General features: G+C 43.0%; 1 protein-coding gene and 1 long non-coding RNA gene across 4 annotated transcripts in view; both read left to right on the top strand.

Moving 5' to 3' along the window:
• RORA (RAR related orphan receptor A) overlaps positions 16,568 to 23,878 on the top strand; it is a 741,019-nt gene continuing 733,708 nt past the window's right edge. For both annotated transcript variants that reach the window (NM_134261.3, XM_047432928.1), the window contains exon 1: positions 16,568 to 16,817. In NM_134261.3, the coding sequence (NP_599023.1) occupies positions 16,652 to 16,817 (166 nt within the window). In that variant the 5' untranslated portion in view covers positions 16,568 to 16,651. The remainder of the gene's footprint in view (positions 16,818 to 23,878) is intronic.
• The window catches only part of LOC105370841 (uncharacterized), a 47,242-nt gene continuing 45,926 nt past the window's right edge, over positions 22,563 to 23,878 (top strand). For both annotated transcript variants that reach the window (XR_001751772.2, XR_007064661.1), the window contains exon 1: positions 22,563 to 22,681. This is a non-coding gene — a long non-coding RNA (uncharacterized LOC105370841). The remainder of the gene's footprint in view (positions 22,682 to 23,878) is intronic.

The following is a 23,878-nucleotide window of genomic DNA, read 5'->3' as shown; positions in this document are numbered from 1 at the left end:
CCATGTAAAAGAATTAATAATGTGCTCAGTATAGAATAAAGATTAGCTGTTATTATTCACTATCTACTGTGCACACCAGGCACTGAAGTGCTAGAGATGTAAACAGAAATAAGACATGGTCCTTACGCACAAGAAACTCATAGTCTGGAACACGGATTCTCAAAGCATGATCCTGAGCCACCATCAGCAGCAGCACCTGGGACCTTTTTGGACAAAGGAATTCTCTGACTTCACCCAGACATACTGAATGAGAAACTCTGGGGCCCAGAAATCTGTTTTAACAAGCCATCTAAGGGACTCTGATCCTCACTCAATTTGAGAATCTCTGCTTTATAGTAGAGGGATAATAGTGCCTTATATCTGTGAGTGCTTTAAAATGTTCGAAATGTTGCTACATGATTTTAATACTCACAACGGTCTTGCAAAAGTAGAATAGTTATTTCCCTTTCAACTGAGGAGCTGAAGGTCCTGGCTTACTAATAGGACTGCACTTGTGTTCAGGCACCCACTCCTCCAGCAAAGGTGACCTTCCAACTATTCAGGAATAAATCTCAATTAGCCTAAGCCAATTCTGGTACTCCCAGTTCCTTTTTAAGTGGCTGGTTTACAAGTAGGCTTGTGAATAAGTTCTTGCCAACAGACAAGACTGAAAGTCTGTTGAGGGGCTACTTGGAATTGTCTTCTCTCTTAAAGAAAAATGAGGTTGGAAGTTCAAGACCAGGCTGACCAACATGGAGAAGAAACCCTGTTTCTACTAAAAATACAAAATTAGTTCAGTGTGGTGGCACAGGCCTATAATCCCAGCTACTCGGGAGGCTGAGGCAGAAGAATCAGTTGAACCCGGGAGGCAGAGGTTGTGGTGATCTGAGATCATGCCATTGCACTCCAGCCTGGGCAACAAGAGGGAAGAGCAAAACTCTGTCTCAAAAAAAAAAAAAAAAGGCACAAGGACAAGATAGCCCTCTTCTGCTGGACGTTAATACCTAGAGCAGTGGCAGCTATTTTGTCAGCATGAGGGATTCAGGTGACATTCAGAGGATGCAGAGAACAGAGATGGAAAAACCCTTGTTGATATCACTGAGCTACAAAATTAGCCCAGCCCAGGTCCATCTTAACAGAGTAACTCTTACATTATGACATATTTTCCTTTTGCTTATGACATTTTGAGTTGAGTTTTTTGTTCCTTGAAATGGAACATAATTTGATACAGTCTAGCATGGAGAAAGACTTATCAGGGTAAAAGAGCTTGCCATCTCAACACATGTCCTGAGATTCTAAACCCCTGCTCTTTGCATAGCAAAACTTGCTAATGGATGATGATGACTCTGATCTCTGATGAATGGGGTCAAACAAATACACGAATTCTCATGCATACCTCTTATCACATTCCCACATCATGCCCACCTCTGCCCCCTCAACTAGCATCTTGAGCTGAGACTCTAGGCTGTCATAGCTTCATCGTCATTACCTGGTAAAATGCCTCACACTTATGTGCCCCACAGTAAATGGTAACTAATTTGTCAGTGGAGGAAATGATGATATAATCATATGAATAAGCAAAACAAATGACTAGTGAGGGGTTAATGGTACATATAGATTTAATGTACTTCCTTTTGCATAAAAGTCACAGTCTAGTGATAGTCTTCGGTGCCTTAACCCAGAGAAGCCCATACTGTAAACACTTCAGAGTTCTGTGGGGGAAGTACTCATACTTTCCACAGAATCACTATCTATAAAAACAGAAAAGGACTTTGTGGTTACTGAGGCCATCATCTTAGTAATGAGGGTTCTAAGGCCCAGGAGAAGCAATGACTCACCTGATGTCACAGAGCTGATCAGAGAAAAACCTAAACTTGAATCCAGGTTTTTCTGTCCCTAGAACACAGGACTTGAATTTCTGGCTCTTTAAGATCTCTCAAAACCTGAAAAGCCAGGGCCCTTTGCCTTAAGAAAATTCTGCTGACCAGAATGTGGAAGGATTCCTTTAGGGTAGCAATAAAATAGGCAATGTGGGGAAAGAGGCACACCCCCGCTGCCCTGGTCCACTGCTTTTCCTCTTCCTTCTCTTCTTACTCTAGTTTCTTCTTAATCATATATCTTTCTTAGTCTTTTTGTCCTACACAAATTTAACAAATGATAGGTTTGCAAAGGACCTTATGAATCTAGTCTAGCCTCCTTGTTTGATTGACAAGGAAGCTGATGTCCAGGAGGGAAAGTGTTGCAGGAAGTCAGGGATCCCAAACGGAGGGACTGGCTGAAGCCATGGCAGAAGAACATAAATTGTGAAGATTTCGTGGACATTTATTAGTTCCCCAAATTAATACTTTTATAATTTCTTACGCCTGTCTTTACTGCAATCTCTGAACATAAATTGTGAAGATTTCATGGACATGGACATGGACACTTATCACTTCCCTAATCAATACCCTTGTGATTTCCTATGCCTGTCTTTACTTTAATCTCTTAATCCCATCATCTTCGTAAGCTGAGGAGGATGTATGTCACCTCAGGACCCTGTGATGATTGCGTTAATTGCACAAATTGTTTGTAGAGCATGTGTGTTTGAACAATATGAAATCTGGCCACCTTGAAAAAAGAACAAGATAACAGCAATGTTCAGGGAACAAGAGAGATAACCTTAAACTCTGACTGCTGGTGAGCCAGACAGAACAGAGCCATATTTCTCTTCTTTCAAAAGCAAATGGGAGAAATATCGCTGAATTCTTTTGCTTAGCTATGAACATCCCTGAGAAAGAGAATGCATCCCTGAGGGTAGGCCTCTGAAATGGCCGCTTTGGGGGTGGCTGTCTTTTACGGTTGCAGCTGTAGGGATGAAATAAGCCCCAGTTTCCCGTAGTGCCCCCAGGCTTATTAGGACGAAGAAATTCCCGCCGAATAAATTTTGGTCAGACTGGTTGTCTGCTCTCAAACCCTGTCTCCTGATAAGATGTTATCAATGACAATGCATGCCCAAAACTTCATTAGCAATTTTAATTTCACCCTGGTCCTGTGGTCTCACCCTGCCTCCATTTCCTTTGTGATATTCTATTACCATGTGAAGCATGTGATCTCTGTGACCCACACCCTGTTCATACACTCCCTCCCCTTTTGAAAATCACTAATAAAAACTTGCTGGTTTTGCAGCTTGGGGGTTATCATGGAATCTGCTGCCACGTGAAGCCTTTCCCAGACACACAGCTTTAAAATTTCTCCTTTTGTACTCTGTCCCTTTACTTCTCAGACCGGCTGACACTTAGGGAAAAAAGAAAAGAAACTATGTGACTATTGGGGGCAGGTTCCCCCAGTAGGAAAGTGATTTATCTGGGAACTTTAAACAATTTGGCAGGTTCATTGAGTGGTCAAGGGCAAACCTGGTGTCAGTCTGAAATGGGGAGGGGGCAATGGCACACGTCATCTCTGACACCATGAGTTGCATAATTTTGGTCATGCTATTTATCTTCTCCCTGTGTTCCAGTTTCCTCGACCACACCACGAGTGATAACAGTAGCTGCCTCATTGCATTACCATGTGGGAAATATTTGTAAAGTACAGGAAATAAGTATAAAGCACTTGAAGGGTGAGTGGTCAGTAGTCATTAGTTGTATAGCAATATCTAGTGTGTGCTGAAGAGGATGGGATGATGATCAAGAAGAAGGACCTGGAATTTGGACCCTGGTTTTAAAATTCTTACTTATTTTCACTAACTCATCTTTTTTTTCCCCTTTTCTTTTCCGTAGCCTGAGATTTCAGCCTAATCTTTTATTTTCATTTTATTATTTTTGCATTAGAGAGAAAATGTGTTGTGGGAAGAACATGGGCACTGGAACTAGACAGACCTAGGGTGACAGCCTATGTTTGTTGAATATTAACCACAGAGCTTTGGTCAAACCCCTTAATACATCTGGGCTGTTTCTTTGCCAAGCAAGGATTCCACCACTCAGTTCCTAGCACTGAGGATTCCACGTGATAATGCAAGTAACAACCCTAGTATGTTTCAAGGCATGCTGATATCTCCCCCTGAGGCCCAAGCCCAAGAGTGAAGGCAAGGGTTCCGAGTCTTAACCACATCTTCTCTGGAGGCAGTGTTGGGGCACCCCTGAGATTGAAAAGTGGCACCATTTGCCCAAATGGATCAAGGAAGTACAGTCAAATAAACTCAAATCCAGCCTGAACGCTTGGTTAAGACCAGGACTGATTGCTGACCTTGTACGATCATTTGGTTACAGTGCAGCTGACAGTGAACTTGAAAGACTGGCCATACTTCGGTCCACATTCAATGGGATGATTTTGTCTCCAATCTGGTAGGCTGTGTCTGCCCTCAAAGATCCCTTTGCTTACACTAAAACAAAGGGTAAGTTAAAGTGCCCCTTCAGCAGCCAAACAGTGAGAGCTGCCAGTAAATCTCAAGGCTGCTGAACTTGGGCCAAAGAAGCAGCCTGGGGCAGAGGAAAGGGCACTAATGGGGGTTTTGAGTTCCAGGTCCTTCTTTCATTCAGTTACCAACTCTGTGAGTGACTTTGGCCAATTCCTCACTGACCTCACTGGTTTCCTCCTGTCACTTAAGGACTCTGTCTATTTTCCAAGTGTCTAGTGTTATGTATTGGTTTAATGAATGTCTTCAGCACCAGAACATTCCACCCATAACATCTTTCATATTGAACATCTGCTTTTATCCATCTCTTGAAACACAGCTCCCTCCAACACTGTGTCTTCTGTAGCGCCAAGTATTCTCTAGGCAATTAAAATGAATTGCAGGGGGTGGTTTGGAAACCATTTAATCTATCAGATGAAAAAAAAAAAACTGAAACTCAGAGATGTTCAGCAACTTCTCCAAAGTCACACAGCTTTTTGGCAGCAGTTCTAGGACACCTGCCTTCAGCCCCCTGCAGTAAAAAGGTAGTTGGTACCTGATGATGCCTTTTTTGGTGGGGCATGTCATCAAGGAATAAATATGAAGGGTAACAGCTGTGTAGTCCCAAAGCTTTATTTTCTTTATTATGACCACATGTCCCCAGGAAGAAAATATTTGTGGATCTAACTTTTGGATGTGAAGTGTCAAAGTGAAATGTTATTGACTCTATAGTGCTTCCTACTCGGATAAATGTATCCAATATGTTCCCAGTGACTCATGCGCAGGGCAGATGTATCTTTTTTTCTTCTTCTTAGACACTGACATTTTTGTTGCTCTACACAGAGCTCCCCCTAATCTGCATATGCATCAATAATTAGCCAAAGCGTTATGGAATTTCATCCAAAAATTAATAATTTGATTGGTTATTCAAAATCTCAAGCATCCTGACAGCCAGCAATCAATTGAGGAGTGAAATAATATGCAGACTGATTATTTATCTTCTTCTTTTTCCAACAAAGGAGCTCTCTATGAGCCAGACATCATATTGGGACATTGTGGGAGGATGTTTTTTACTTGATCACTATGTCTAGAAGATCCATGAAAGATATGAAGGATTTTCTAAAACATAGATTGGTCCTTAAAATATTGTTTTCCTTACACACAGAAAAAAAAGTCAGAAAAGGGGGTATAATGCAATATTTTTATTTTTACAGTGTCATAAACAAGTTTAAAAATATCCCAAGCTGAAAACTGTGAAATAAAATTAGTGATGGAATAAATAACATGAAACATTTTAAGACTAAAAATATACAGAGACCCTTAAGTGGCAAAATCTCCTATGGGAAGAAACATGGCTTATAAACGATGACGGTGCCAGTTGTAATCAGCTCCATGCATCGCTTTCCAAAATGTATGGCAAAAATAAAATAAAATAAACAAAACCTTAGAAGATATCTTTATAAGGTCCTCAAAACCTTTATAAGCTCCTTTACAACTTCCATGTATTTATAGAATTTTGAGTGCCAGAAGTCACCCAAAAAAGGAAATCTTTCTCAATGTATTTACATATAGAAAATACAAAAATAAACAAAAAGCAAAATAAAATGTACATTATCTGAGCAACTATCCTATGCCTTGAGAAGATAGATCCTAACTTCTAATGATACAGCAAGATGCTCCACTCCCATACAAGGATTCTTTGGAAATGTAGACAGCAATTAGCACCCACACCAGCGTTTCCACTTTAACGATAGATAAGTAACACACAGAATCACCAACAATTCATTAGAATTCAACACTAAGAAAATCTCTGATGATACCTCTTTATGAACCTGACCCGAGGCTGCTTACTGGAGGGAACTGAAATTGCATCTGACACAGTAATGTGCTTTAATTGCAAAAGGTTTTAAAAGATGGGGAGTTCCCAAAATGAACGGGAAAGGGTCCTCCCCAAAGCAGTAGTCAAAATTACGTTTGTTTAATCAACAGCATTTGGTTTAACACCAATGGTTCTTAGACTTGGCTGCTCATTCGAATTACCTGGGGAGCTTTTACTACTCTCAGCCTGGGCTGCACCCCAAACCAATTAAGCCACAATCTCTGGGGGTGGGACCCAGGCATCAGAACTTTGTAAAGCTCCCCCAGTGATTACAATGTGCAGCCAAGCTTGAGAACTTCTGATTTAGTGATAAGCCATCCTGGGTGACTGAATGATTGTCCTCGGTCGTTCACTCCCCTGTAGTAGGGCTATGCAGTGACACCCTTGCTATAATCTCTTGGTGGGCAGAAGATATTTCCCCACCTTTTGACTGTGGATTTGGCCATGTGGTTTGTTTTGGCCAATGGAGTGTTCATAAATGTGATGTGTGCTAAGATTTGACAGCTGCTTGGCAGATGGGCTTGCTCTTATGTGCACCTGCTTTTTTTGCCAGAAGAGCGTGCTTCAGTCAACCACTGTCCTAGGAAGAGACACATACAGCAGAACCAAACCCAATTACCAGCCTGGAGCCAAATGTAGCTGAACCCTAGCCTGCCCATAGACATAAGAATGGGAAGGAAGTGTTATTGCTGTAAGCCACTGAGTTTGGGGGTGGTTTGCTAGGCAGCATTTTTGTGTAAGAGGTAACTGACATACCTAAAATAAGAAAAAGATTATTTAGTGAGATGGCCAACATTGTGGATAATTGAACATTTCTTCTTGCGTGAGAGAAAAAGACAACTTATAACTTTTTCTAAAGGAAGGTTTGACCCATCATGCCTGCCATGATGTAGCTTTTTGGAACAGTGCTACTGTCTTTGTCACCCTTCTGATCTGTTAAGCAGAAAATATTTCCTGCTGATTTCTTACTCAGTTTCACACAGGGCTGCCATCTAAATATCTATCCTCACCAGGGCAGAGCTGGCATTCTGAATCATCAGTGCCCCAGGCTAGTTTGACAGCTTTTTTTTTTTCCTTTTCCTTTCCTTTTTTTTTTTTTTAATTTTCAAATTTAAGCTCTCTCCAAGTTTTTGTGGAAAAACAGAGAAAAAGCCCTTTCTATATAACTACTACCAAAATGATCAGACATACATATCCTTAGTTATGATAGGGTTTCTTACATGGTGCTGGGAATTTTGTGATTGTGCTGAAATAATAAGTCAAATGATAGTTAGGCCCACAGAAGTATAGGTCTCATCTCCCAGAAAAGCCCTCTTTTAGGATTTATGGCATTCACATAAGTGCATTTATTAATCAGGTGGTCTTGAATATAGGACAGTTATTCTCAAACTTGAGTGTGCATCAGAATCATCAGGGTGACTCGTGACAGCACAGATTGCTGGACCCCACCCCCAGAGTTTGTAACTCAGCTAAGTCTGGCTGAGGCCTGAGAATCTGCATCTCTATTAAGTCCATCAGGGGACGCTGATGCTGCTGGTCTGAAGACCACACTTTGAAAACCACCAATATGAGGTGAAAAATTATGTATGTGTGAGATAGATTCCATGTGGCACATTGCCTTGACAGAGAAGATTCTTATGCATTTCCTTAATGAAAACATGTTTGTGTGCAACACTAAGAATAGGTCCACCTGGAGAATACAAATGGAGTCAGCAACCTCAACTTTCTTTGCAAAAAGTTCATCTACTCCCATAACCACTTCCCAAATTTGTATCAGTAGTCCTGAATCCAGCAAAAACAACTCATGAAATGCCTCCTTTGCAAGGAAGCCTTCTCTGATTTCTCCAACAAGAAATATTGGCTTCTTCTTCTGAGACCCTGAACCCATTCTATGGCAAAGTACAGGTGCTTATGAACTTGTCTTAGCTTTTCATAAAGGATGTACAATCTATCTGATTCATCTTAGAATTTCCTACAGGTCTTTCACATGGCAGATACAAAATAAATATTTATAGATCCTGAAATCTGTGAATGAGTAACCATGTGAGGATGGGCTTAGGAAGTCAAAAGAGTAAAACTTAACATTAACAGTCTGCATTGTCAAATGCAGTGACCAGTGGCCACGTGTGGCTATTTAATGTTAAGTTAATTGAAGTTAGATGAAATTAAAAATCCAGTTCCAAGCTATACTAATCAAGACAGTATGGTATTTCTAAAAGAATAGACAAATACATCGATGGAACAGAATAGACAGCTCCAAAATGGATACCCATAAATGTAGTCAACAGATCTTTGACAAAAGAACAAAGGCAATACATTGGTGAAAATATAGTCATTTCAACAAACGGTGCTGGAAGAACTGGACATCCCAATGCAAAGTAGTGCATCTAGACACAGCCCTTATACCTTTCACAAAAATTAACTCAAAACGGATTGTATACTTTAAAATGTAAAACTATAAAACTCTTAAAAGACAGCATAGGAGGCCAGGTGCGGTGGCTCACGCCTATAATCACAGCACTTTGGGAGGTCGAGGCAGGCAGATCACCTGAGGGTGGGAGTTTGAGACCAGCCTGACCAACATGGAGAAACCCCGTCTCTAGTAAAAATACAAAATTAGCCGGGTGTGGTGGCAGGCACCTGTAATCCCATCTACTCTGGAGGCTGAGGCAGGAGAATTGCTTGAACCCAGGAGGCAGAAGTTGAGGTGAGCTGAGATCAAGCCATTGCACTCCAGACTGGGCAACAAGAACAAAACTCTGTCTCAAAAAAAAAAAAAAAAAAAAAAAAAAAAAAAAAAAAAAAGACAGCATAGGAGAAAATCTAGATGCCTTCACATACATACACCAAAGGCACAACTGATGAAAGGAATAGTTGATAAGCTGGTCTTCATTAAAATTAAAAAACTTCTCTTCTGTGAAAGAGTGTCAAGAGAGTGAGAAGCCAAGCACTGACTGGGAGAAAGTATTTGGAAAGATACATCTGATAAAGACTGCTCTCCAAAATAGCCAAAGACCTCTTAAAACTCAACAATAAAAAAAAAAAAAAAACCCATGAATAAAAGGCCAAAGATTTGAACAAACACCTCACCAAAGAAGATATACAGATGGCAAATAAGCATATGAAAAGATGCTGCACATCTTATGTCATTAGGGAAAAGCAAATTAAAACAAAAATGAGATACCAGTCACATGAATATTAGAATGGCGAAAGTCCAGAACATTGACAACACTAAATGCTGGTGAGGATATGGAGCAACAGGAAATCTCATTCACTGCTAGTGGGACTGCAGAATGGTACAGCCACCTTGTAGGACAGTTTGGCTGTTTCCTGCAAAACTAAACATACTCTTACATACAGTCCAGCAATTGTGCCCCTTGTTAATGACCCAAAGGAGTTGAAAACTTATGTTCAAACAAAAACCTGCACATGCATGTTTATAGCAGCCTCATTTATTATTGCCAAGACTTGGAAGCAACCAAGATGTCCTTCAGTAGGTGAATGTATAAACCACGGTAAATCCAAATAATGGAATATTATTTAGTGCTAAAAGGAAATGAGCTACCAAGCCACGAAAAGACACGGAGAAACCTTAAACGCACATTACTAAGTGAAGAAGCCAATCTGAAAAGGCTATATACTGTATGAGTCCAACTACATGCCATTTTGGAAAAGGCAAAACTTTGGAGACAGTAAAAAGATCAATGGTTGCCCAGGGTTGGGGGAAGGGAGAGACGAATAGGCAGAGTACAGAGAACGTTCAGGGCAGTGAAACTACCTTCTATGTTACTATCATGGTGGATGCATGTCATTTTACATTTGTCAAAATCCAGAGAATGAACAACACCAAGAGTGAACCCCAATGTAAACTATGGACTTTGAGTGATTATGACGTGTCAATGTGGGTTCATCCATTGTAATAAATGTACCCTTTGATGCCAGATATTGACAGTGACAGGGCCTGTGCCTGTGTTGGGATAGGCAATATATGGGATATTTCTCTACTTTCTGCTCACTTTTTCTACTCTAAGAATAGTTTATTTAAAGGGGAAAAATTCCAGTTCCTCCCTCATACTAGTTGTGTCTCAAGTACTCAATAGCCACGTTGGCGTGATAATCACATTGAACACATACATGGTTCTATTGGGTGGACTACTCCAGAATTTCCAAATCACTTTCATCTATGTTATCTTATCTGCCCCTCACCAACACCACTGTGATGTAAGTGGTTTAAAAAGTCATCATATCCATTTTATAGCTGGAAAAAATGCAATCTTAGAGAAAATAAATTGCTTTATGGCAAAGTGGAAGAATGTAATCTATAAAATACGTATCAGACATGAGAAAGTTTCTAGAACTTAGTGGGTATGCAATCAATCGTACTCCATTATTTGTTGATTTATTAAGTTTTCTTTTTTATTTTGACCCTACCTCATTATTCAATCAATCTGTCAACAAATATTGCATTTATCACGTATTAGATACAGTGCTTGGCACTGGGGATGCACAGGTGAACAAGTGAGACGAGGTCCCTGCCCTCAAGGAGCTTACAATCCAGCCTTCTTTACCCTCGTGTGTTCCAAAGCCAGCCAGAGATACTAGTGAACTCAATCTCGGTGGGGTCATAATGGGTCTATGAAGGATACTAAGGCCAATACAACATCCCTTCATCTCACCCAGGTGAAGTTCAGGTGAAGCTGCTGGAAAACACTGGGCTACAGAAGAACTGTTCCTCATGTCCCCTGGCATTTGCCGCTTGTTAAATGCCTTTCTCTTCTCCAATTCCTCAGCCCTAGTTCTAGAAGTTATCAAAAGGAACATTTGCTGCCTAAGACAGGGTCTTTCTTGCTTCATGCCCTGGAAAGATTATTAGCTGCTTTATGGAGGTCTCTAGGGCAGTGTAAGCCTCATCCCTAAAGGATTTTAACAGAGGCATACAATTACACTTAGTTTTGATGTGCACAAGTTTACCTTTCCTACAAGACCCAATACCTTTGTCTCTGTTTTCCTTAGCATCCAGCGTAATGCCCTGCAAATAGCAGCAGCACAATTAAAATTTTGTGAAGTGACAAGACAGATGCTAATATCTTTTTTTTTTTTTTGAGACAGGTCTCACTTCGTTGCACAGGCTGAAATATAGTGGCAGAATCATCATGGCTCACTGCAACCTTGACTTCTCAGGCTCTAGTGATCCTCCCACCTTAGCCTTCCTAGTAGCTGGGACTACAGGTGTGTGCCACCACACCTGGCTAAATTTTTGTATTTTTTGGTAGAGAAGGGGTTTTACCATGTTGTCCAGGCTGGTCTCAAACTCCTGGGTTCAAGCGATCTGCTTGCCTTGGCCTCCCAAACTGCTGGGATTATAGGTGTGAGGCACAGTGCCCGGCTGGATGCTACCTTTTGAGCCCCAGCTGAGCCCTAGAAATTACTCTTATTACATTGTTATAATACCTACTATGAGCTGGAGATGGTCCATACCAGCACTTTCCAATAGACAATGCTATCAACCACACAGTAATTTTAAATTTTCTAGTAGTCAGATTTTAAAAAGTTAAAAGAGATGAAATAAATTTAAATATCTCACTTAACCCAATATATCCAAACTCTGATCATTTTGACATGCAATCAATAAAAAAGTATTAATGAGACACGTTACATTTTTGTACTAAGTCTTTGAAATTCAATGTGGATTTTAACAGTTATCACACATCTCAATTTGAACTCACCATATTTTAAGAAATCAATAGACACATTTGGCTAATGACTAGTATTGGACGGTGCTGTTTTATACAGAAGTTTATAACAACTTGTAAGATGCATAATGATAAGAGCAGAATTTTGAGTGCCAAGATTTCAGAAGGATCATCTCATCTAACCCCAACAATGTTCATCTATGGATGAGGAAATATAGGCATAGAAATGGTTAGTGACTTTCCCTTGGCCACATTGCCAGCACGTGGCAGAGTTGGGCGTTGACTTCAGGCAGTCTGAAGCCGTCAGTCACATCATGCCACCGATTAGTTGTGTGGCCTTGGGCGAGTCACTTTTCTTCTCTATATTTTCATTTCCTCACCTATAAAATGGGCATGGGTGGAGTGGATCATCCAGGGTGGACACTGCATGTTTCAATCTTCGTCTTTATTTCCTCATGTCTGGCAAGTCTGGCTCTCCTGTTACCACCCAGGAGGACATCAGGTTCACATCACTGATTCTCTGGCTGCTTCTTACCCTGGACTTTACCAGCTGGGGGACAACTTAATGACAAGCAGTGAGATGGAGCCCCTCCCATGCCCAAGAGCAGTGCTGCATTTTCATTGGTGTGTCTTCTATTTTCTGCACATAGCCCAGCTTCAGCTTCTGGATGCTTTCTTGAAAGAAGGAAAACTTGTTGTCTGGGCACTCAGTTTTAATTTTCTGTCTTCTTTGTTCTTGTGCATGTTGTAGAAAGCTCCATACTCCCAAGGAAATTCTACTGTATATTTCCATCATTTCCCTTCTCTCCCTCTCAAGAAATGCAAGAAAATAACTGTCAACTTTTTTTGCATATATAAATTTTAACAGCACATACATGCTGATGAATCTTTTATCCAAGAAGGAAAGGCTTATTTCAAGTGATTGAAAGTTGAAATGCTTAGGTTTTCATTCTTGTTGGATAATGGAATTACCGTGTGGACATGCTACTTTTTGATGACTTCATCAACTGCATTTCCCAAATCCAGTAACTGTAATGAATGCCTACTATGTGCAAAGGCACAGTCCCTGTTTTTAAGGAGCATGTCTTCCACCAGGGAGGAAAAAGCAAATGTTCAAACAACCACAATACAAGGTAGATTGAGCAGACCAAATGCCTTAGGAGGGGTGCACAGCACTAAGATAGTTAAAATATTTGGTTTGGGGTAAATCAGGGAAGGCTCCACAGAGGAGCTGTCATTTAGAATTAACTTTGAAAGGAAGGTAGATTTCAGTAAACAGAGAAGGCAGGGAGGGCCTTTAGGGAGAAGAGGCAGAGGCAACTATCTATGTATCATGGACTAGAAGTAGGAGGGGGAGCAGGCAGCAGCATGTGGCCTGGCCTGAGTACTGCACATGGATTGTGGAGATTACATAAGGATGTAAGACAGTTTGACAAACTCCTGCCAGGAGTGTCACACTCCCTATCCTCCACCCATGGGAGATAACATAAATCAATCACAGCCCACACCTTTCCACATGACGAGATCGACTTGCCATCCTTGGTATAGGAGTGCAGAGATAGGGAGATAGAGCCTTCAATACCGCGTTGACTAGTTAGTTGTTAATTGCATGGGCAATGGGGAGCCATTAAAGTCTTGTAAGTAGGGGAGTGACATGGTGGGAAATGAGAGCTGTAGTTCAGGGTAATTAACTTGGCAGTACTATCTGGAATGGATTAGAATGGTTATAAGACTGAAGGCCAGTTATTTAAGAGGTTACTGAGATGGTTTAGGTGAGCAATAATGTCTGGAACTGCATGGATGGCTGCAGAAAGGAGGGGCATATGTCATGTAGGTAGAATTTGTAGCACTTGGCAAGCATGTTAGGATGTGGAGAACTAGGGGCAGGAGCAAAAGAGAGGAGTCAAAGTTAACTTTGAGGTTCCCAGTAATTACCTTAGAGTAGGAGAAAAGTAATGTTACCATCAGGAGAGGAGCCTGGGATTGGCAAGGAGGTAGGGGGCGATGGCTGTGGTGTTGCAAAGAGGAGTTACAAAAAAACTGAAATTAGGCTGATCTCTTCCACAAGCATAGCTTTTCTAAGCCATTTTCAGGGAACTCGGTGCAAAGTAAAATAACCATTTTTAAGCAAACACTGTTGCCCTTTGTCAATGAGCAGAGTCTAAGGAAGGCTCCCATCTCTTCAAATATTTGGAAAATTGGAAAGCCTTAATTAGTAATCCGAAAGGGAGCATGACGGAAGGAAAGAAATATAAACCTAATCACTGTGCTTTTCAGGTTTCAAATGCTTCCCCAATCCAGGTAATTTACACTTTAGTCACAGTGATTGACAGTCAAGGAATGTATCTAACTCACTTTTATTTTTTCCCTTGGGGAAAGCACTTGAGTTCCCAATTGTTTTAAATTGCAGAAGCAGTAATTGTCTTAGAGAGTTAGGAGAAATGGCTTTTTGGAGCTGCGATCTTTTTCTGAAGGGAATATAGAGTCTATTTTAATTGATTCAGGTCATTATGACTATTTTCTAGATGGTCTTTTCAGGGTGACTAAACATCACCTTAGTTAAAGGAGAACAGTAAGAAACTCATTAAAGGTCCAAGGGGAACAGACTTAATAAAAAATGTTAACAAGTTGCTACTGGTACCTAAAAGGAAACCAGGGATACTTTTTAAGTCACTTGCGTCCCAGATAGAATTACTGGTGAAATTTAATGTGACGAGTATTTTTTAAAGTATTCTAAAATAAACATGAGGCAGCCAATGTATTCTGAGATGCTCACTGTCCCAGAGGAAGTTGTTTCTTAAACTGTACACTTTGATATATTTGTTTCCTTAGAAAAGTCAAGTGTAACAAGCTAGGTCAATTGCATCAAGAACATTACTAACAGGCTAACCAATGGTAAATGTTGTGAAGGCTACTCTGGAAATCTGTGCTTTCACGTATGGGGAAACCCACACGTCTGATTTGGGATGGAGGAGACAATTGTGCATTGTTTGTAGGCGCCAACAGACAGGCTAAAGCCAGGGATCCTTGCAGAGACAGGATTAAGGTATCAGGACTGTTCACATCTCATTTACATCACCCCGAAGAGTGGACCACAGGTTTTGCTGATTAGTACACAGACTATGGCAAAGGGCATTGTGTATTTGAAATAAGATCAAGATCAGTAACAGTAACAGAAACTATGTGTGAAATTTGGCATATGGCGGTTCCTCTGAAGGATTAGCTAACTGGGTTTCCCGCACTTACTATTTTTTAAAGCATTTTTCCAAACCAGGAAGTTAGCAAAAGAAAAATGTCCCCCAATTCCCTCCGCCTACCCCACGTTCTGAAGCACATATATTTATGCCACCTTCTGGCCTCTAATAATATTATTTATTGTCAAAATTTTGGATCCTTTTGAAAGGAAGGTGGGGCGTATTTCCACAGTGTCTTCGCAGGCAAAAGAAAGTGGTAGATTGAGTATGAAGGCAGACAAATCAGGCTACTACCATTGGAGTATTTTCCATTCTTTCAATTTGTATTGTTCCTTCATCTTGGAGTTTGCAGTCAAGGTAACGATGATGCAATTATCTGCTTTCCTGGAGTTTTAGGTACCTACTAGGGGATGAATGTATTTCAATGGGAGGAGGGTGTAGAATGATGCCTATAATAATACGAATTATTAGGAGCTGTTAATTATCTGAATGTTATCCGGGCATTAGTAATGCCTCTCCAGTATATCTACCTTTTATGGATGAGACTGTACATTTAATAGGAAAAGTACCAGTGGGAATTGACAATTAGCAGCCACGCTTGAGCTAGATGCAGCGTGGCATGTTTTATCCAGCTTAGATAGTTGTCGACCAAACAGGCCAAAGTTTTCTTCAGTAGAAAATGCCCTGCCAAATGGTTTCTGGATCCTTCGCGGACAAACAGCAAAGGAGCTGAAAGCGACCTCTTTCAACCATGCCAGAAACTGTCCATGGCGCTTCTAGATTCACAAAATCTGTTTTAGACACAGATGTCTTTAACCAAGATTGGAAACCCACTGGCCGTCCCATCCCAAAGTAAAAAGTGCCACGTCCTCCCATCCTCCGCCTTCCTTGGGATGTCAGCCCCGTTCTAATTCCTTTTTAGTTTCTCCTCAGCCCTCGGCAGGGCTGGCAGGGGGCTACCTGCGATTTCCCAACGTGGACGTGGACAATCGGATTTGTCTCTACCCAAGCTGGCAGCGGATGGGGACGAGTTCTGTTCCCGAGAGAGTCTCAGAAGTAGGCACGGAATCATCTCACCGATTTTAATTTCTGTCCCTGGGCTGGGGAGAGGGGAGGATTGGGGCGCGGGAGGCTCTGTTCTCCTCCTCCCCTCTTTTCCCCACCTCCCAAAATTGGCAGCCAGTCTGTGGCTCTCGGTCTGGGGTCTGGAGGGTGGGGAATGTGGGTGTGGGGGCCGGCTGGAGAAGCTCTCGCTAGCGCTGCCTGTGGCCAGACCCGCCTCTTGTCCCCTTTCGGGCGCACACACACGTCCACCCAGACACTCCGCGCGCTCCCTCGCGCTTTTGCTTGCCCGCCCGCCGCCGCCTGCTTTTTCCCTCCTGCTTTCGCCGGTCGCCTTCTCCTTCTTTTTTTTTTTTTTTTTTTTTTTTTTTTTTTTTTTTTTTTTTTGGTACCATAGAGTTGCTCTGAAAACAGAAGATAGAGGGAGTCTCGGAGCTCGCCATCTCCAGCGATCTCTACATTGGGAAAAAACATGGAGTCAGCTCCGGCAGCCCCCGACCCCGCCGCCAGCGAGCCAGGCAGCAGCGGCGCGGACGCGGCCGCCGGCTCCAGGGAGACCCCGCTGAACCAGGAATCCGCCCGCAAGAGCGAGCCGCCTGCCCCGGTGCGCAGACAGAGCTATTCCAGCACCAGCAGAGGTAGGAGGCTGGAGAGGGGCTGGGGAGGGGGCGGCGGGAGCCCGGGCGCGGAGCGGGGGGCGGCCGGGAGCGGGCGCCCGGGGCGCGGGGTCCGGCGGCCGCGCGCGAGCCTGCGGCGGCGCCCCGAGCCCGGAGGACCCCCCTCCCCTCCCCCCTCCGCCCCCCAGAAATGTTGCAAACTTTTGCAGCCCGTTCTCGGCTTGCGGGAGCAGAGTGGGGCGGGGGAGGCGGCGGGAAGGTTGACAGCCGGCGGGCTCACCCCCCTGGCTTTGATTTTTCTGCAAACACTGGAGGAAAGCTGCGTTGCCTCAATTAAATACGCTCCCCCAAAATACGGAGATGCGGGGAGTGGGGGCCCGGGAAAGAAACTTTTAAAGCGGCAGTGTCCTTTTAAGAAGGGGCAAAAAAATCTGTTTATGGCCACCCTCCTTCCGCTTTACCTTTTCTCCTCTTGACAGTTTCGGCCCTGGCTGCCCGAGTCGGGGGTGTGTTTTCGGTCCCTCTCAGATCTGGGCGGGGGGCGGGAGGAGTGAGCGACCTGGGAAGTCCCGGGGGTGGAGAGGGGGCGCTCCGGGGTCTGGGGGCGACGTGGACACCTTCTTTGGAGCACGGCGGTGCGTTTGGGATTTGAAGGAAGGGCCGAAGGAAGCGGGGTGCGGGCGGGCGAGCTGTTCGCCAAGTTGTCTGGCGGGCGCGGCGAGGGGAGATGCGCAAGTTTGCAGACCGGGGGTTCGGAGCCCGGCGCCCAGGCTGGCGGGGGGCGTGTGCGCGCCAACGCGCAGAGGGCGGCGGTCCTGTGGGGCGCTCCACGCGCATCCGGAGGGAGCGTCTACAAAAGCAAGCACCGAAACTTATTTCTGCTCTGGGAATCCTTCCCTCTCGGAGGTTCCAAGCATTTCTGCAGGAACCTGGGGATGGTCAGTGCAAGTTGTATGCTGGTTGGATAGTGCAAGCAATGTTTTCTCCTCCCCTGGCGATTTTTACTCTTCATTTTGGTGTTTGGTCTGTGTCTGCGTGTGTTGGGGGGGATGGGGGGGACTCAGTTGCTCCCTCCTTTCCTAAAGTGAGCTGTTGAGGAAAGCTCACTCTTTCTTGAAGGTATTGGAACCTGATGTGTGTTTTTCTCGAGAGTGGGGGATTATTTATTTGAATGCGCCTGGAGTTTGCAAAGAACAGGAGGAAGCTACAGCTTTAATTACTGTTGTAAATAATGTATAAATCGCGCCTGTCACTCCGGAGGAAGCGTGCTCGCGCGAGCCGCCTGGAGCTGGGGACGGAGAGGATTTCTCCAGCCCCGGCTTGGGTACCGGCCCAGCGCGCCCCCTCCTCTTGCACTCGGCTTCTGGCGGCGGTTGGGGAGGGCTGGGTAGAGGCGAATGGGGGCCCCAGGAACTGCTCCCTTCCTCTCGATGTTGTAGTTGGAGGTAGGAATATGGCTGATCATGTGCTGGCTGTTTTACAGTATCCCCCCCCCCACCTTAGCCACACCCCCTGTCCAGGCGCTTTCCCATTCACGGAATTCGAGTACAGTAAAAGCCATCAGGATGACACACGCGAAAAACATTTAATTAAAGGCGATTTCCAAAGGGTGACCGCGGCGAACCGCGGTTTCAGCGGGAGGGGGGCGGCGAGGGCTGGGACAAAAGGGAAGGGGATGAGGGCTGGGGGCCTGGACCTGCCGCTAGCTCGGTGAGTTTGTGTGCGGGGAGCTTTTGGCTGCAAAGAGTATATTTAGACCCTGAGACGGTGGATTTGGAATGCGAGCGGGTTATGTAACAGGGTTAATCAGAAACACTGGAGAAAATCCCCTTCATGTGTTTCTGGGGCTTTTTTTTTTTTTTTGGAATGGGGGGGACATAGTATTTAGGAAGCTGCACTAATTTTTGGTTTGTGCTGCCACCTTTCTCCTTCTTGACCCCCCCACACCCTGTGTTATTAACATCTTCAGGTGTCATTCTTGCCAGAAGGTGTTCTTGCAAGCGATCAGGGTGGCAGGCTGCAGAGCCGACTAGCAAATCCGTAACTTGCTGTTCTTGCAAATTATGTAACGCCGGAGCATTCAGTGCCACCAGCCCCCTTAGGCTCAGCAAAAAGGGGAGAGGGGCATAGTAGGAGTGGGATACATCTTGCACAGCTGACCTGCTGACCCATATCCCCTTCCCCCCACCCTCTGCCCCCACCCCAACTCATTCTTTGAACCAGCCCCTGTCTGTCCCTCCTGGAAGATTTAATGGGAGGGGGGTGGTAAGGCCCAAACACTCAACTCACATCCTGCACGCAGGCACTAGGTTATATAACAGTCTGAATGGAAAAAGGAAGGTCAGAGATGGAGGCATCCTTTAGCTAACACAGCAGTAGTAATAGCTTCCAGAAATTATGTGCATTTGCAGACTTTAACCTCAGATGTAGCATCTGCTCCTCAGGGGTACCAATCTTTATGTGTGTGAGCTAGGGAGAAAAAGAGAGAATGTGTAAGTATGCCTGGTAGTTGAGAGTGATTTGAAAATGGGAAATGTTTGGGTTTTCAGATGATGTAATGGAGTTGGCAGAATATGCAAGCCGGCTCCCAGAGTGTAAGCAGTAAGAAAATTGGAGCTGGCATCCAGTATTAATGTTGCATAAATTACAATATCGGAAAGAAATTAACCTACACACTAGGTGATTATGCCTTTTAAATACTTAAAACATAAAGGCACACAACTAGAAAGGAAAAGCAAACATCATCACCTTATGATTAGCATTTTCAACCTCCAGGAGGGTGGAGTGGAGTTCTTGGCATTGGGTGAAATGGGAAGCTTTCTGATTTGGGAGATACTTTCCAAAGGGTAGCAGGTTTAGCTTCTACCCAGTCAGTGTTTGAAGTCCACAGAAATTGTGGTCTGAATTCTCATGACATTGCAGTGACCTCATGAGACATTACCTAGGTAGACTTGAGGCTACTGTTGAATTCCTCCCTCTTGGGAATCCAAGTGTGGATGCACTGTGTACCTTTATTGCCTGAGCTTACAAAATCAGGTGTGTGACTTTATAATCTGAAAGACGACCTTCCCCTGTCCATAAAACTGCTGGGAATGTTAGCAGTTTTAATGAAACTCTTCCATTTTCTAGGTGATATTAATGATAGCTGGTGTCACTCAGTTCCATCTTAACAACACAATGAAAGAGAAAAAAGAAAGGCAGGAAGCGACAAGGGAAGTAGGAATGAAGCGGAAAAAAAACCACAGCGAATCTTTAATTTAACAAGGCTTTCAGGGACTTCAGGGAGCCATGAGCCTCGTGACATAACTGTTGTTAAAAACCCTTTTTCAGAATCTCGTTATTATATGTGCTTGCCAGAAGCTTACATATTTTAGTTCAGTGAAGTCATCCACACAGGGCTGTGTACCACCACACAGTTGGTTTGGAACACCAGTGCTGAAGGTTGAAGGCTTTTAGGGCCGGCAGACCTAAGGGAAAAATCGAAACCAAAAGATGGGATTAACAGTGAAAAGCTCAGTTGGGTTGAGATCGAACCCCCTGGAAGCTCAGCTTAGATTGACTTAAAATCAGTTAACAGGGCCTGTAGTTTATGTGTAGCCCTGAGGACTTCTAGAACCACATACGTCTTTGACTTTGAAAGTGCGTGGCCTCTCTTGCCCCCTTCAGTTTTGGCTGATTCACTTTCTAGTAGGTGCTCTTACCTAGCAATTTAGCGCCCTTTCTAGAGATTGATTCTCAGATCAACTTTCCTCACATGGACCCGGCTCGCCACAGTGAACAAATGATGCCCCATAGTTTGAAAGAGCTGCTGACTGGGAGAAAAGCCTTTGCCAGAGGGATAAAATAATTATTTTTTAAACTAAAGGACTTTAATTTTCCGGTAAATTGCTCATAAAAACATTTATAATAATACCCTTTAAAAATGTAATATAATAATTATAGAAAAGGCATTTGATGATAGTTATGATAACCTTTTCTGTTGCTTCCCCCTTATTTCTTAAAAAAAATTGAATTATTAATCTAGAATTCAAGTCCTGAGTGGTTCAAAACATCTATAGGAGACTCTTCTAATGTTAGTCACCTGCTGGAATTTTCCAATACCTACTGGCATGGTGAGGAGCCCTTGGCTTTAGAAAATGCCTCTACGTCTGAAACTGAAGTATGGAGCCTGCATTGAAGCCCCTAACGATGAGACCCTTCAGCTTGTTTTCAAGGTAGCAGAGGTGGGGGCTGTAGCACACACTTCTGGTTCCACACTAGACTCCTGAAGTGGGACACAGGGAGGCGTGAGAATGTTAATTGTAATAGATGTGCCTCCGGATAAAAATGTTCTGAGGATTTTTAGTGACAGCTGAATCACTTTTGGAAGCAAACTGCCCTCTGTCCAGAGCTAACCTTTGGAATTCGAGTGAGACAAGCCCATGGGTTCTTTTCCTTGGACATGTCACTTCTGAATTAAGATCCACCTTCTCCCATTTTTGTGTTTAGGAGCTTGCGGTACCATGTTGACAGGAGAGATGGAGTTGGAGGTTATTAGAGGTTCATATGGTATGGTATCTTAAGCATGTGCCATGTGTTCTGAGTTTACTCTTCCTTTCCCCCTTCATCTTCCCAGGCTACTTGATGAATTGAGCTTCTTAGCTTACACTTCTGTGGAAGCCAAATGCATAACCACATTTCCCAGGTATCTGGGGAAAGAGCTGTAATGTGATTGCCATGTGTGCAAAAACAAATAATAAAAAAATTTATAGGAAACGCACCTCTCCTATTATGACATATCTGGCTGTTCACATTCATTGTCTCCCATGAGCCAATATACAGGGACTTTGAGGTAGACCTCATCTGCTCGCTCACAGATTCCTGTCCCATTCATCCCAGATTAGTGATAAAGTGTGCAGAAACAAGGAGAGTATTTTTGAAAGGCCTTCAAGTGTTGGAGTGAATACTCATCCAGAATTTGGAATACTTTTCTGAATATGAAGATTATCTTCCTTACTCAAAATTTAGGAATAATACTCTCTGTCTCTCATTTTCTCTTCTATCATTTTTTAGTGGTTTTTTTTTTTTTGATATCTAATTCACGCAGGAAGTGTTGGTTTAGAAATGAGCTGTTAAATTTTTCACCCATCTTTTTAGGCTGTATGTTAAAATAAAATTGTATTTTTAAAATTAATGCTTTAAAAAAAACCTGAGAATCAGTGTTTAAGTGTTGATTAATACACAGTAAACCATGATTTTTCTCTAAGGGTGCCAGGACATTACTGATGAGTTGGTTTTTCTGACTAACAGTAGATTAACCCAAAGTATTTTTTGTCCTTTACTTGTTGAATACGTTTTCTAAACGTACTAGTCCCGTTTCCTACTCTAGAAAGAACACTGAGAATGTAATTGAATCTTTCTTTGAGGTTTGAGAATCTTATGGTGCCACAAGGTCACTGTTCTGAGTATGAATTCCAATTGTACATTATAGAACTGTAAATGGACACAGTGTCAGAGATTGGACTAAATCTATCTTGATCCCCACTTGGAAATTGTTTTCTTTCTTTCTTTTTTTGTTAAATGCTCAATATCAGTATGTTTTGTTATTTCCTCCCTTGTTGTCTAAGTTGCAAGTAGCAAAATAGAAATTCAATTAGTTGATTTTAGTTAATTGAGATTTTTACTTTATAGGAATATTTCATCCAGAGCTTAGGCTCTTCTTAATTCTTTCTTTGGAGTTAAAGAGGATGTAAAGTCATTTTTTTTTTTTTTTTTTTTTTGAGACAGAGTCTTCGCTGTGTCTCCCAGGCTGGAGTGCAGTGGCACGATCTCAGCTCAGTACAACCTCTGCCTCCCGGGTTCAAGCAATTCTTGTGCCTCAGCCTCCCAGGGAACTGGGACTACAGGTGCGCACCACCATGCCCAGCTAATTTTTTGTGTTTTAGTAGAGACGGGGTTTCACCATGTTGCCCAGGCTGGTTTCAAACTCCTGAGCTTAGACAATCCACCCGCCTCGGCCTCCCAAAGTGCTAGGATTACAGGTGTGAATCACCATGCCTGGCGGTAAAGTCATTCTTGAATATTCAGGAAGGATATTATATTTTCAAGTAAGTTATTTACTGTATTATGATAACATAAGTTTTCTCCCATCTAATGGTAGACAGAAACTCCAGGTAGTCCTAACTCTTACATAGATATATTGAAGGGGTATCTTTGGCATGAGGCTCTTAAATCCTGAAAGTTAGGAAACTCTAGGGTTAGAAGGAATAATTCCAAGAATGTCAACAAAGAACATTTCGATTGCCCCAAAGGAAACCCTCTTTCCAAGCACAGGTTGTTTTCACTGGACGAATATGGAAAGCATCCCTGGAACCACACCATCAGAAGCTGACTTTCTCAGGGATGTCCCACTTGACTTAATGATATAGTCTGCAGTTGTCTTGTGATTATCTTTGATATTGTAGTGTTGGAAATTCAGCTTGGGAGTCCTGATGTTCTTTTGTGACAGCCCAGTTATTATTATTTCTCTCTTGATTTTGGAGCAAAGACATCAAGGAGATTGTCTAAAGAAATCCTTAGAAGAGAGGAATGGGGCATGATGAGGAATAAATGTACCATAGCTCACAGTTTAGTCAGGCCGGCTTTTTGCGCCAGCTCTTACATGCTAATGCTAAAAGGAATTATAGGTAACAATTCCCCTGTGTTGGTGCAAGAACAATTTTTTTTTCCTAACATATTTGTATGGCCTTAACTGACACGTCATTATTACAGACTGTCTTATCACATTACATAGTATGGCACATTAACAGTGGCATGGCGCTGTGGTTTCCTGGTGATGGTTTTGTCCGCAGAACTGGGGCCCTGGTGGTCAGCTAGGGAGCCCTGTACAGCACCCACTGACAGCTGAGAGTACAGGTTTCACACACCCTTGTAGGTGGTGGAGGACTCCAGGCTGCCCCAGGTAGAGCTTCTATACCATAGATGTTTTCTCTGAAACTCTGTGTCAGAGGATGGAAATGAGTAGGAAATATTATGGTACAGAGGATTTATAATCTCCTAGCCTAGAATCATCTTAACAATGTTATTGGGTGTTTTAATTTTGA

This window comes from Homo sapiens, chromosome 15 (genome assembly GCF_000001405.40).
Source record: "Homo sapiens chromosome 15, GRCh38.p14 Primary Assembly".
Classification (NCBI taxonomy): Eukaryota; Metazoa; Chordata; class Mammalia; order Primates; family Hominidae; genus Homo; species Homo sapiens.
Note: the sequence above shows the minus strand (reverse complement) of the source record. Positions and strands in the feature narration are given on the sequence as shown.